General features: G+C 38.6%; 1 protein-coding gene across 2 annotated transcripts in view; it reads left to right on the top strand.

Moving 5' to 3' along the window:
• Positions 1–14904, top strand: part of ITFG1 (integrin alpha FG-GAP repeat containing 1) — a 306856-nt gene that overhangs the window by 76161 nt on the left and 215791 nt on the right. For both annotated transcript variants that reach the window (NM_001305002.2, NM_030790.5), the window contains exon 7: positions 9146–9210. In NM_001305002.2, the coding sequence (NP_001291931.1) occupies positions 9146–9210 (65 nt within the window). The remainder of the gene's footprint in view (positions 1–9145; positions 9211–14904) is intronic.

The raw sequence follows: 14904 nt of genomic DNA, 5'->3' as shown, positions 1-14904 counted from the left end.
AGTGCAAATGTCACTTCCTCAGTGAAGCCCTCCTCAAATTCGTCCAACAAGAGAGTACCTCTGCCAGCTCTGTTCCAATAGTATGTATTCATAATTCTAGCAGAGCCATTACCACATAGTATTTGTCAATTTCCACATCTGCCTCCTCAAGGAAGGAGTAGAGAGAAGTAGTAGAGACAGTAACCTCACCACATTGGCCAGGCTGGTCTCGAACTCCTGACCTCAGGTGATCTCCCCACCTTGACCTCCCAAAGTGCTGGGATTACAGGTGTGAGCCACCATGCCCCGCCATCATTTGTGTTTATCTCTCCAATACCTAGTTGACTGCCACGCAGTCAGAGATATTTAAAAGATGTTTGAATCAGTTGGTGGATATGACGTGGAAAAAAAATTTGATGATCATTCTTTCACATCATTTTATAGGCAAGTAAGTGAAGTCCAGAAAGGTAACATTTTGCTTTACTTTTTCCAAGTTATCAGACTGTATTACTTCAGGCATTTTATCACTACAGTGCTCTAGATTCAGGAAAAATATTCCCTTCCAGTATGTTCCAGAAATAATGTGCGGAAACCTTAGAGACAGGTTATTTCATTAAGACCAGGGTTATTCTAGCAGAAAATGCCTCTCTGGTGTGTAGAAAGTGAACTAAGAATAGTTAAAAAAAGAAGACAGTACACAAATCAGGTTTCCAGACTAGATGGAGCGTAAGTGCCTACTGTTAGAGGTTTGATTTTCAGTTACAATGAGTTTAAATCTTTTTAAATAACTAACTTTGTATTTTTAACCATCCTTCCCTTGGATTTACAAGAGAAATAAACTGCTAACCTTAGCTGACCACCTGTATCATGTTTTGCAGTTCAGTCTGAGGTAGCAGTTATTAGAGAGACCAGCAACTTCTCATAACTCTTGGAGCATTATCACCTTGATTGAATTGTGCCACTTAAGAAATAAATCACTTTGAAGTTGAATTTGATTTTAAATGTCTGGCCACAATTTTTGTGAATAAAATTAAGAGTTTTTTTCTAACACATACCCCATGACTAGGAGTCCATCATGTCATGAAAATTTAGAGTTCTGTCAAAAATGTTTCTCTCAGGAGACAGAAATGCATTAAAAAATGTAATTTTGGGAAGTCCTTTAACATCAGTATAAACTGACATACAGTCTTTTCTTTTCTTTTGAGATGGAGTTTTGCTCTCGTTGCCCAGGTTGGAGTGCAATGGCACGATCTTGGCTCACTGCAACCTCCGCCTCCTGGATTCAAGCAATTCTCCTGCCTCAGCCTCCTGAGTAGCTGGGATTACAGGCATGCGCCACCATGCCCAGCTAATTTTTTGTATTTAGTAGAGACGGGATTTCACCATGTTGGTCAGCTGGTCTCGAACTCCTGACTTCAGGTGATCCAACCACCTTGGCCTCCCAAAGTGTTGGGATTACAGGCGTGTGCCACCATGCCCGGCCCAGTCTTTTCATTTGGAGGAAATAAATACTCAGAAATCCAGCATGCCATGTTTCAGCTGCTAAAAAAACCATTTTTGGATAGTAGCGCTTGTGTAGGCAGCTATTGAGCAACTAGAAAGTGTAACATCTTTGTAAATCTATAATGAGGCACAGGTGGACAAGATAAGAAAGCATCAGGATTTTGGAATGAAAGTGATGAATGAAAGTTAAGTAACCTTAGTGCATAAACCAAATTATTGCAGACTGATTTCATTGCCCTAAGAAAACGCGTCAGGGCAAATATAATTCTAAAATTTATATTTTAAAACCTTCATTTAAGTTAATTTACATAAATGAAAGTTGATGGGAAGTCAGAAAATCTTAGCAATTATTGATGCCAGGGTCCTGTTCTCCAGTTATTTCCATCATTAAGTATTATCTCTGTTGACTTCTTTACCTTCTGGAACATAGAGGACTTTTTGAGAAAGGGGAGAGTCTTATGTTTGAAGTTTGTATTAATGTCTATTAACCCATATAAACATTCCAATATTGAAAATATTAAATCTACAAAATCTCCCTGAAATTCCTTAAGGTCCTGACCTCACAGGGGTAGAGGAAATATGTGACTTCACTTGATACATATATTTAACACCAGAATTCAAAATATTGCTAAGTCTTTGGGGACCATTAACTTACCACAATTGTCTTGATTACATTTCTCCTAACAATTCAACATACAAGTTATGAAAAATAAATTCCTATGATAAAAGTGTAGTAATTGGAAAATTTTTACTCCTCATTTGTTAATAACCCTCATCAAGGGAAAATTATAATCCCCTTAGACATTCCATTTCAGTGCAGTTAACAGGTTCCTATCATTATTTGCTGCCAGCAGCCTGTTACTTGGAATTTATTGGTTTTGCCTAAAATTTTTAGTTTATATACAATCTGAAATAAATAAAGCCAGTGGTTTCCACCACCCACCCCCACCCCCCGACTTCTGATCATGATTTCACTGACGACGGAAGACAGGGTAGGAATGTGTTCATTGTTACCATTAGTGATTTCAGCCTTGTGTGCCTGGATTCCAGAGTGTGGTGTCTGCGTCTCTCTGTAACTTGTTGTGTACCGTCTTGAATTAGAGATCATCAGAGCTGTCTGCTAAGTATGGTGAATCTTCATTTTGGACCCCATGTTTCAGGAAATAGAAAGAAAGTCTAGATAGAAGATAATGAACTTAAAAGTTGAAATTTTAAAATGATTCTTGGAAATGTAGACTTGTGAATGGGGAACAATTCAAGCACGTTTCTGATATCATCTTACTAAATTAGTGCATCTTTATAAAATATGATCTGGCAGAATTATTTGATATAGGAAATAGGGTTGATCTTCTGCAAACAAAAATATAACTAATGCAATCATCTCTATCAGAGGTTTCAAACCAATACTCATGAGCAAAATCAGCCTGGAGACATGTTTTGAGTTTTTTTGACCCATGCTGTGTTTCATATATTTTGAATTAAGTTTCAGTATTTCAAAAGTTTGATTTTTCATATTAAAAATCATATTTCTGTAACAACAACAATTGTCTGGAGCTAATTAATTCTGTCCCTCTGGTCAGTGATGATCTCTTTTGCTTCATCCAGTTCCCTCACTTACTACTGTCTGTCTTATCCTGAGATGCTTTTTCAGTTTGTATGCCCTTGCCTTTTTACTATTTGATCATCTTGTTTGTACCAGGCCTTCTTAACTTATTTAAGTTAAGGCCTTATGCCTTATAGCATTTCAATTGATGACCTCTGAGCTACAGAATGCAATTAAACTGCTGCTGCAAAGAGTGAGAGCTGGCATGACCTGGTTTGTCTTAGTGATTTCAGAAGTCATATGGCCTTCAGTATACTTTTTAATGAATAAGTGGAGGAAAAGGTGTTTTATTTTAAAGATATTTTTATTCTACATTGTTATGCTGCCCTTCCACTAATATAACTAGGCCTAAGAGAAACTGGATACTACTATAGAACAAATATAAACATGAGCTTGGCATAGCCTCCTAGCTTGAGCATAGAAACAGTATAAGTTATGATACTGCTTTGAGCCATTCTTTGTGGAAATGTCTCCAGACATTTCAGCTTACAGAAAATACTACGAATGTTTTATTAACTATGTTTTTCTAAAATAACCCATAATATTACTCCTCTGTGAATAGTAACTATTACTATCCAAGGAGAATTTCTTCATGCAGGAACTCAAAATAATATTATGAATAGTTTTCTTTTAATTTCCATCGGAATATTTTTCTTAAAACTTGAGACATCACACTGAAGGATATAGTGCCTGAAATCACAATTTTCAACATCTTCTTTTATACCATAGTGTATCAAAAGGATATTACATGCTCATGATTAATCATTAAGCTTTGTTTTGAGTTTTTCTAATATGATTTAGTTCATTTAGACTTCCAATTTAAGTTTCTAAAACTCCTGAGGCTTCCTTTTAATGCCAACTTTAACCAGAGAGCTCTTCATTTGAAAGGAAGGCTAAGCTGCAGTTGACAAAGATTAAAATGCAGTAGCTTACTCCTTTCAAGCTATGAATGGAGATAATTGAAGCATAAACCATTTAATGTTTTTGTACACACTTGTCTATGTCTCTGTAGTTTCTGAGGAAGAAACTGCATGTGCATTGAATATTTTCACTATTTTACTTGTTAAATGAATCTAATGAAAAAGAACTTAATTGAGTTTGGAGTTTAAATCCTGAATTTTTCATGAAATCATGATGTGATCTTTTGTTATGGAGTATTTGTTCAAGTGAATACCAGTGATATCAGCTATCATTATGTTGTTTCTATTAGCATTTTTAAACTTAGTTTTGAAAACAGGAAAGACAAACCCATATCCAAAATATATATGGTTCCTGTAAATGAATTGCTGCCACTTCCAGGGTGAAAGGGGTCCAATATAGTCGCCAAGCCACCAAATCTTTATTCCAAGCCACAACTCACCCCACTCTCCCTATACCAACCCTGTTCTTCCAACTCCCACCCTGCCTTGATCAAATACATGCAGAACTTAGTCTCATGCACACTCTTCTGGCTCCTGCCAGTACGTGTCCACTAGGTCCTTGACTTAATTCAGAGTGCAGTCCCTTTCTCCTACCTGTCCATCACATTCCTGGCTAAGTTTACACTGTAATTTAACCTTACTTTTTGGCGTAGTGTCCAGGAGATAAGGTGGGCAGAGCATAGGAATGGGGGTGTGTGTGAATCACATAATGAGGGGAGGAACTTCTCCGTCATCATCATCAAACAGGAAAGGAGACTAGCTGTTAACAGCAAAGAGTGGGCTACTTCTGCAGACTATGAAGTTTTGCGTGAATCTGAGGACTCAGAGTTTCTGCTTCATCAACCTAGATGTTCCCTTTCCATGAATCATGTATTTTGTTTCCAACCTAGGGATCTAACCTTAGCATAGCAGAGCTGCTATGGTTGAGAATTTAACCTTCTTGGGTTCCCTTCTTCTGCTCTTACTGGTCAAAGTCCTCCTTGCCCTTTTGGTGTGGGATGTGAGAACCTCTTTTTTTTTTTTTTTTTTTTTGGCTACCCAAGAGACCCTCTTCCTTTCACATTTAGCTTTTAATTTCAGATCAATCATGTTCAGCCTTTGTATCTGTCTTGTACTGCCTCAATTGAGCTTAGCAATAGCTGTCTAATTACCCTGTCCTTAGCATTAGTGTTTGCCTCATATTTCTCAAAAAAGAAAACACAAAATATCACACCCCCACTAGTGTATTTCCTCCCACCAGAATACTATTGCAAGACAGCAGCAGTAAAAGATAAGTGGGGGAAAAGGTGTTTTATTTGGGGGCTGCCTCTGCCTTATCCCCAGTGAAGGAACCCATATTGCCTGCCCCATGAAAGGTGATCCAACTACAGAATCTCTTTTTTTTTTTTTTTTGAGATGGAATAATCTCGCCCTTGTCACCCAAGCTGGAGTACAGTGGCGCCATCTCGGCTCACTGCAACCTCCACCTCCCAGGTTCAAGCAATTCTGCATCAGCCTCCTGAGTAGCTGGGATTACAGATGCACACCACCACGCCTGGCTAATTTTTGTCTTTTTAGTAGAGACGGAGTTTCACCATGTTGGCCAAGCTGGTCTTAAACTCCTTACCTCAGGTGATCTGCCCGCCTCGGCCTCTCAAAGTGCAGACATTACTGGTGTGAGCCACCGTGCCCAGTCCAGAATCTCATCTTAGTGTCTGTTTTCTCAGATCACTTTTGGTATCAACTATTGTTGGTTGGGTTTCCTGGGAAGCAGACTTTGAGACTGAGATTCATGGGCATGAAGTTTCATTTTAGAGTCAAAACCAGTGGACGGCATGAGACAGAAACAGAGTTGGGCTGCAATTCAGTGTCAGTAAAAGCCTCAAGGGGACCCCTGGGGAGCTCTGAATGTGGAATGGCCCTGTAGAGTTGTCCTGAGTTGTGGTGAGTGGGTCCAGCCTTTATACCTCCAAATTGACCATTGATTGGATGCAGACTAGTCCAGAAAGGGATGCAACCTTCTGCAAGGTAGCTCCTTTTCAGCCGAAGTTGTTCCAAAGAGGGCTAACCACTTAGGATTGTCTACCAGCAATATTTCTAGAAGCTGAGAGAATAAATCCTTAATTCCCAAAAGGGCATCTGGGTGGCATGTCACATCCATGACAGTTTCTGGAGTACATTTCCTTAATTTTATTTTGTGAATTACTCTTAGCCATGTGAGAGGGTGAGAACTTTATTGCTTCATTGATTAAAAATTTTCTTTAGGAGTTTCTTCATTCCCATTTCATTCAAAGTCTGAGGCATGATTCTTTATATTTAATTACTAATAATTAATTTTCTCTATTTTTGTTTCTCTGTGTAATGAATCATTTATTTTTTCTATGCCCCTTTACATAATTGAATAGTAAGATGATATATTTTTAAAAAGTCTATTTTACAAGATACTTCCAGTCCCTCAACTAGCTTTACTACTTTTCAAAGTTTTAATAAATAGCTAGCAAAGCCATGGAAATAGAATCAGCATTGTGTGTTATAGTTCCTAAATTCTTTAAATATGCATGAAAGAAGAGGGCATAATTTTCACCTTCTATGCAAATATAGATTCTGACTAATAGAACACCAGTGGAAAAAAATTTTTGAATTGGTTTTCAAGGAGCGGCGATAAATTGCTGGTAGTTACACCACTCCCTCTAACTATCCCCCTTAACCATATCTTAACCATATGTGGTCACAGAGTCATTCTTCTAATCCCATGACGCTAACTGCCTTATCAAGACACCAGACCTTTGATTTCTTGTTGAAAACATGTCTCCACATTTATTCTATTTTCAAATGGGTTAAGAGTTTCAAAAGTTGGATATTTTCAGTTTGAACAAATTCACCTGTAATGTAGTAGCATGCTTGCCCCTTTTCTCAGTTTTAGTTCTTTCAAATAGGTCAGAACTTGCACTCATGCCTCCCTTAGTGATTCTTAGAATTCTCTGTGGCTGTTAATCCCTAATCACTTTCTTATGCTGATTATTCCCATTTTCAGATGCTATAAAAATGTAACACCTTTTAAACATACTTAGTACAGTAGTCACTGTGATTATTTTTAATGAAACACTTTAACGTAGACCCTTCTTTCCCCAAGACTTTCCATTTAAAGACATAATAGAGCAATTATTTTTAGACGTCCAAGCAAATTTGCAAGAACTACAATATACATATAGCATGTTGTCCATAATTATCCAGCAATCATTTGAACATGTTATATTTCCTAGCTCATAGAAACAGCAGGGATAGAAAAATCCGTTAGGCATGATTCCTGCCCTCAGGGAGCTTTGGACAGGCAGATGTGAAGCCAGAATACCATGGTAGGTTGTAATCACTGCCGTGACAGAGGTAGCAAAGGAGAATAACAGCGGAGGGAAAGCTATGTCTAGGGAGAGGAAGGAACTCTAGAAGGAAGAGGACATTTCAGCCAATTTTGAAGAATCCATTCACCAGGTGGCTGTGAGGTGGAAAGGTACTACAGAGACAAGGAATGACATGTACAGAGGCAAACAGAGGTCAAAAAACATGATAAAATCTGGCGACTACTTTGCTCTGTCTGAAAACAATCTTCTTGTGAGGGAGTAACACAGAATTGAGGCTGGAAAGGTAGGTAAGGTAGCCTTCACATAACAGCTGAGGTATTTGCCCTTCATCTTGGAAGAAAAGGAATGAGATCAAATGACTTTGGAAGTAACACGTCATTGGGAGTGCATGAGTAACAGTAAACAAATGACGTTCATAGAGGACTACATTTGCATATCCACAGGCAAAGCATTTTCCTTGTTGTGGAAATAAATACAGAGCTATTTGATACATGGACAAAAGAATGGTTCCACTTGGAATGAGGAGTTTTGAGTTCAACTAATTATAAAAATAAATTCCTTAGCTTTTGGGTGATTCCATGAAAATCTTTATTATTACAATTATTAGATAAATTAGCTTCATCAAATTCATATGACACCCTTACAGAAAACACATTAAAATGTGAATGATAGTTTTCTGAGCATATCTAATGTAGGAAGGGAAAAAAAAACTCTTTTTTTCAGTAGTCATGGCCTTCACATCACTCTGAATCTTTTTTTTTTTTTTTTTTTTTTTTTTGGGGAGACAGAGTCTCCCTCTGTCTCCAGGCTGGAGATCAGAATCTTGGCTCACTGCAACCTCCGCCTCCTGGGTTCAAGTGATTCTTCTGCCTCAGCCTCCCAAGTGGCTGGGACTACAGGTGCGCACCATCACACCCAGCTAATTTTTGTATTTTTAGTAGCGATGGGGTTTCACCATGTTGGCCAGGATGGTCTTGATCTGCCACCTCGGCTTCCCAAAGTGCTGCGATTATAGGCGTGAGCCACAGCGCCCTGCCAGTAATTTGTTTTTCAAAGCATAAAACAGTAATGTTATTTTAATATTCCTATAAGCCACCTCATCGTTTTAATACCTTATATATTCACTAAGTAAAATTGCCATGATACAAACATAATAAATGCTGCTACTAGAATAGATTTGTTTGCAGTAATAGGCCTTTACAATAATAGGATGTTTCATTTGACTGTGAACCTATTTTTTTTCAAAGAAATTTTATTAAAATTATTGTACTTTTCAATAAAACAACCATTCGTTAGCTGGAATTTATGAAGACAATTCTATTACTGAAAATTTGAAACATAATTTATTCATTTAACATGAGTGCAAAAACTTTTGGGTGGTGAAATACTGTTATTTAAAATAATGCTGAAAACTATGATATATAGGTAAGTGTTGCTTGCTTTCAGGGTGAGAAAGCAAATGTGATTGCGATCAGAATATCTGTTTTAAAAAATATAGTACACTTTGGAATAAAAAAGATTAAAAGGCACATGATTTAAAAAAAGTGCGACACATAACTATTCTTGGAAATAAGGAATATTCTTGAAGGACTAATACCAAATATCCTCGTTAAATACATTTTCTTTAATGCAGGGTCATCTGCTTTTTTTTTTAATGGGATGAAACTTGTTAAAATATAATTTAAAATATGTTTAAGTAGAATTGTGTCAATTCTTTTAATGTATTGCATTTTTTTTCTGTTTTTAAATGTACACATCAGTAAGACTACAAAACTTTACGTTTTTATTATTTTTCCTTCTAGATTTATTCCTGACGACATTGAATGCCACCACTAGTACCTTCCAGTTTGAAATATGGGAAAATTTGGTAAGAAATCTTTTCCTTGAAGCATTTTAAAATGATGGCTTTCAGTAAAAGCACACAATTTTAGAAAATAAAATGAAAATAATCACTTGGTTGATTTCAACAATAAATAGAAAACTTTAAGAGCCTTTGGTTGCATTGCTGCATTCAAACTACTGAATATTTCTGAAGGAAGTGATTCATTCAGCATCAGTTACTCTGCAGGTTTTTAGGCATGACTGCCAATTAAACCAATCAGGCTGCCCTAATGTGCATGTTAACAGGACCCCTGCTATGCTGTCAGCTGTTGAGAGAGTTACTGTCATTTAATTTGTCAGCATGATGGTTTATGAAAAAAAACTATTTTAAAAAGACCAATTTTTCCCCTTTGCCTTTAGGCTTATATAAAGAAATAAGACAACAAACACCAAACTTACTGCCACGTTGACTAGGATTAAGAAATCTTTCCCAATAGGGTTTTTTTTTTTTTAATTGTAAGTAGAAGATTCCCAAACCAATGTCATGATTTTGTTTTACTTTTAGCTTGATGTGAGTTATATGATGGATTAATTAATGAAGAATAAACAACCTGAAATTTTAAAGTTAAATTTCAGGCTACATAGTAGAAGACAGGATCTGAGACCAGACCAAACTGGCCATCACAGTGACATTCGTGAAGTATTGGCCAAGTATCGAACCCCACTTTCCACACACAGAAAATGGGCGTAAGAGCCTCTGCTTCACAGGATCTTTATGAAGATCAAATGAAACAGTTTGTGTAACATGCCTGACATGCAGTAGGCATTTATCGAATTTTAATTTTAGGTCTGTTGATTTCCCATCTGCAACTCCTGATTGTATTTTATTCAATCCAAATTAAACCCATAACCTTTTATAAATTTTATTAAAATGCTGATAAAAAATAAGCAGATTTTTGAAATGTAAAGCACAAACTTATGGAAGGAGACTCAGACTCATTATCAGCCATCCCTCATAATATGGTAAGTGATGCTGGTCATGACTCAGATCTCTTCATGGAAGGAAACTACGATGGGGGGTTGCTTTGTTTAGATGAAATCAGAGCTTCCGACTACTTCTAAGCTCAGCAATTTGATTCTTTTTTTTTGTTTTTTTAAATGGGGCAAGGGGAAGTAAGACATCTAAATCAAAAAAGACTTATTTAATGTACTACTTTTTAAAAAAATGCAGTTATATTTGTTTTTCTGATAATAGAAATATGGTTGCTATATTTTTATGACTGCCGTACATTAAGTCCCCACTGCTGGGAGAAGTTTGTTTGCAGGTGGCCTTTCATTGCTACCACAAGTGAATCTTCTAGTATTAGAAAATGAGAGGTGTATTTGATTAACTTGTATCTGAGGGTCGGGGGAAGCCTCATTATAAATAAGTAGAATATCTATAGAACATAATGAAACACCCTTAAGTATCTGAGGTTCTTTCAGTCTAGGCTGATTTAAACTTAATGGAATGAAGCAACTCAATAGGAGAAGATTCTTGATGAATAAAATAGATTTTGACTGGGTCTTTTGTTATTGTTTTCTTTAAAGAAAACTAATAAATTCACTGTTAGAAAATGGGGACTAAGGGTTTTTCTTCTTATAAAGGGCTGGATCAGTAAGTAACTTTTAAAGAAAAAAGTATTTTTAAACTCTTGTTAAAGATGGTAAGGCAGATTTTCTTCAAGAGTGCTCCTACAGTGGGGTTTTGCAGTAGGGGGAAGAGATTGGACTCACCTCCAAATACAAGGAAAATCAGGATGTTATAACCAATGAGCAGGATGGGGGTCAGTGGAAGGGAAATTACTTGGGCAGGGTAGTGGTTGGGATAAGTTAAGCAGAGTTCTCAGAGGAGCCTAACCAAAGTTTGGTCAAGGAGATAATCTTTCTCAGTTTCCACAGTAACAATAGTTAATCATTAGTAGATTCAGAATTAACTAGGATAGATAAAGTTTTGTTTTCATAAAATGAATGATCATTTTCAATTAGAGATTGGACAGAGACTTTGCAGTCACATACTAATTTGCCAAAAAAACCTCAAAACCTATAAAACCACATTAGCCAGTAGAAGAATGAAAGCTCAACAAATCTTCTTACATATCAGTTGCATGTACAGCCCCATGGTAGTGCTCTGGCAGTTACAGAAGTGAATAGGGCTTGTAGGCTAGGAGCTGGGATGTGAGTGTGGATGACCCTGGCTGGTATGATGAGATATACATTATGCTACAGGAATTCAAAGAGCAGTTGCTTCTATCTGATTCCAGAATTATCAGTGAAGGCCTCAAGAAAGATGTGGTATTTAGGCCAGGTGTGGTGGCTCACACCTGTAATCCCATCACTTTGGGAGGCTGAGGCGGCCAGATCATCTGAGGTCAGGAGTTCAAGACCAGCCTTGCCAACATGGTGAAACCCCGTCTCTACTAAAAATAGAAAATTAGCTTGGTATAGTGGTGCACACCTGTAGTCCCAGCTATTCGGAGGCTGAGGCAAGAGAATCACTTGATCCTGGGAGGTGGAGGTTGCAGTGAGCCGAGATTGCACCACTGCACTCCAGCCTGGGCGACAAGAGCAAAACTCCATCTCAAAAGGAAAAAAAAAGATGTAGTATTCAACATGACTAGTATGAATTAAAGGATTTTAGTGATTTGGAAGTGAGAAAGAAAGAGGAAAAGGCAGGCAAGGAATTGCACAGGAGACACAAGACACATCCAGATGGTATAAAGTGGCTGATTTAGGCCAGAACATGAAAGAGATATTGAAATGTAAGACTAGAAAAATTGGTTTATACAAGATCAGCAAGAGCTTTGATCTCTAAACTAAGTAATATGATCTCTTAAAAATCTACTGAGAAGCTATTGTTTTAGGACTGAGAGTGAGATGAACAGAGCCTTCATTATTGCAATTAAATTGGCCACTGCATATCAGATAGGTTAGCATGCAACATCTGGACGTAGGGAGATTAAAGTTTATAGTAAATTTAGGAGGAATTTATAATAACCTGGGAAAGAGATGAATGATTAAAGAAGGAAATGTTGGAAATAGACAAAAAGGGTTAGATATGAGAATATGGGATGACCATTAACACAGTGCTTACTTGTGTTTTCTTCTGGTGAGCAATAAGAGAAATAGAGGCCAGGCACAGTAGCTCACACCTGTAATCCCAGTACTTTGGGAGGCTGAGGCAGGCAGATCATTGGAGTTTGGGAGTTTAAGACCAGGCTGGCCAGCTGGTGAAACCCCATCTCTACTAAAAATACAAAAATTAGCTAGGTGTGGTGGCACATGCCTGTAGTCCCAGCTACTTGGGAGGCTGAGGCAGAAGAATCGCTTGAACCCAGGAGGCAGAGGTTGCAGTGAGATCATGCCACTGCATTCCAGCCTGGGAAACAGAGCAAGACTCCATCTCAAAAAATAAAAAAAAAAAAAAGAGAGAAATAGAAAAGACGAAAGAAGTAACTAATTTTGGGCAGGAAAAAAATTATTTTAGAATAGAGATATGTCTCCCAACTACTCAGGAGGCTGAGGCAGGAGGATTGCTTGAGCCCAAGAGTTTGAGGCTGCAGTGAGCTATGATTGCACCACTGCACTCCAGCCTGAGCGACAGAGCAAGACCTCATCTCTATATTAAAAATTTTTTTAAAAAAGCAAAAAACAGAGACATGTCAAGGAATTGGTTAGAAATGTAGGAACAGAACTCAAGGAAGAAAGTAGGTAAGTGTCGTGGAGGAAGAGTGAAGAATGGCAAAACCAGAGACCATCCTGGCTAACACGGTGAAACCCCTCTCTACTAAAAATACAGAAAATTAGCTGGGTGCGGTGGCGGGCGCCTGTAGTCCCAGCTACTGGGGGGCTGAGGTAGGAGAATGGCGTGAACCTGGGAGGTGGAGCTTGCAGTGAGCCGAGATCGCACCACTGTACTCCAGCCTGGGTGAAAGAGCGAGACTCTGTCTCAGGAAAAAAAAAAAAAAAGAGAGAGTGGCAAAACCAGATCCTTGGGCACCCTTTATGTCAGAATTTTTCAGCGTTGGCACATCACCATTTTGAGCCAGATAATTCTTTCTGTGAAGAACTGTCTTGTTCATTGTCGATTGTTTAGCAGTGTCCCTGACCTCTTCTCACTAGTTCATAGTAACCACCTCCCACTTGTGACAATCAAAAATGTCTGCAGACATTGCCAGATGTTCTCAGGGGACTAAAATTCCCTCAGTTGAGAACCACTGCTTTACATAAATAAAGATAGGGGCATGCAGTCATCATTACATACTGCTTCATGGTCAGTTTTTACCTTTATAAATATGGCAGTTTTAACATTAAATATTAAACATGAAAGCCAAAGCATTGATAGTCATCTATGAAAGGCTACTTGCTACCACATGACACATTTGGTTGGAATTCAAGTAGAAAATGGCAGAAAGTCTTCCTGTCAACAGGTGTGGGTTAACTGCTTCAGTGGTTTTGGTAGTTGTGGTAGCAGTAGTAACAGCATTACTACTAGTGTTCCTACTACTATTACTAACATTAAATGCATGCTGTGTGCTAGGCACTATACTGAGCATTTTATATGGATTATCTCCTTAATCCTCACAAAATCCTTGTAAAAATACATTTTTTAATAAGTCAAGGAATGCTTAAAGAAGGACTAACTTATTCCTGCCTCATGGCTAGCAAACAGTGGAGCTGCGAGTTGAGCTAGGAAATCTGTTTCTAAACTTTCTACCCTTAAGTCATTGAAATTAGTACACAATAATTCCAGAAACCAACTCAGAAAAGAAAAGGTAAAGAGATGACTGCAACAGAAGCCCCTAGTGAGTTCGTTGAATTTTGGATTGCAGGGAAACAGTGCAGATCGGTAAGAACATCACAGTAAGAAATGCTGCAGTCAAAGGATCCAAAATTGCAGCTAACTAGGAATAATTTCTAGTGTTCCATAGCACTGCAGTTGACAGGATGACTGCGATTAACAATAATATATAGTTTCAAATACCTGGAATTGACACAGGATTTTTTCAGTGCCACTTCGCCAGCTAGAGACCTCCACCGCTGGTGGGGCCTCTGCTCAAGTTTCACTTACAACCTCTGGGCTGGCACTGCCCTCTCGACCCGGCAGGCTGTGTTTGGCTCGCACTACCAGTCCTAATCTCACACCCACTGTGGGCAAGCCAGGCACTGCGTGATGAGGGGTGTATAAGCAAGCAAGTGCAGGGCAGCTGCCCCAGGCGCCAACTCCATGCAAGGCTGAGGCTCAACCGGGCATACTACAAGCAGCTTCTGACTTAGGCGCCAGCGTTTGGACAACGGGAGCATAGTGGCATCTAAAAACTTGGAGACACCAGCAACTGCAGGGCCCTAAAGGGGGTGTTACAGTGGACAACCAGAGATTGAGCAAGGTGGAGAAGAGTTTTATTTAGCAACAGAATAGCTCTCAGTGGACAGGGGACCTGAAGTGGGCAGCCCCTACCCAAAAGCAGGGAATCCCCACGTGTGGCTGGGTCTGGGGTTTTTATGGGCTCAGAATGGGGGAGTGCATGTGGATTGGTCCATGGCGGCCTCGGAAAAGCACCATTTTATTGTCTAAGAGGCATCAAGGAAGTTCTCACTCTGGTCGGGGACTTTACCCGGAACTGGCTGCTTGGTTTCAGGCTTTAGTTTTTCTTTGGTTTGAAGGTCGGGTTTCACCGGGGACCCATCCCTATTTGCCTAG

The sequence above is a fragment of the Homo sapiens genome, chromosome 16, assembly GCF_000001405.40.
Source record: "Homo sapiens chromosome 16, GRCh38.p14 Primary Assembly".
Taxonomy (NCBI): domain Eukaryota; kingdom Metazoa; phylum Chordata; class Mammalia; order Primates; family Hominidae; genus Homo; species Homo sapiens.
Note: the sequence above shows the minus strand (reverse complement) of the source record. Positions and strands in the feature narration are given on the sequence as shown.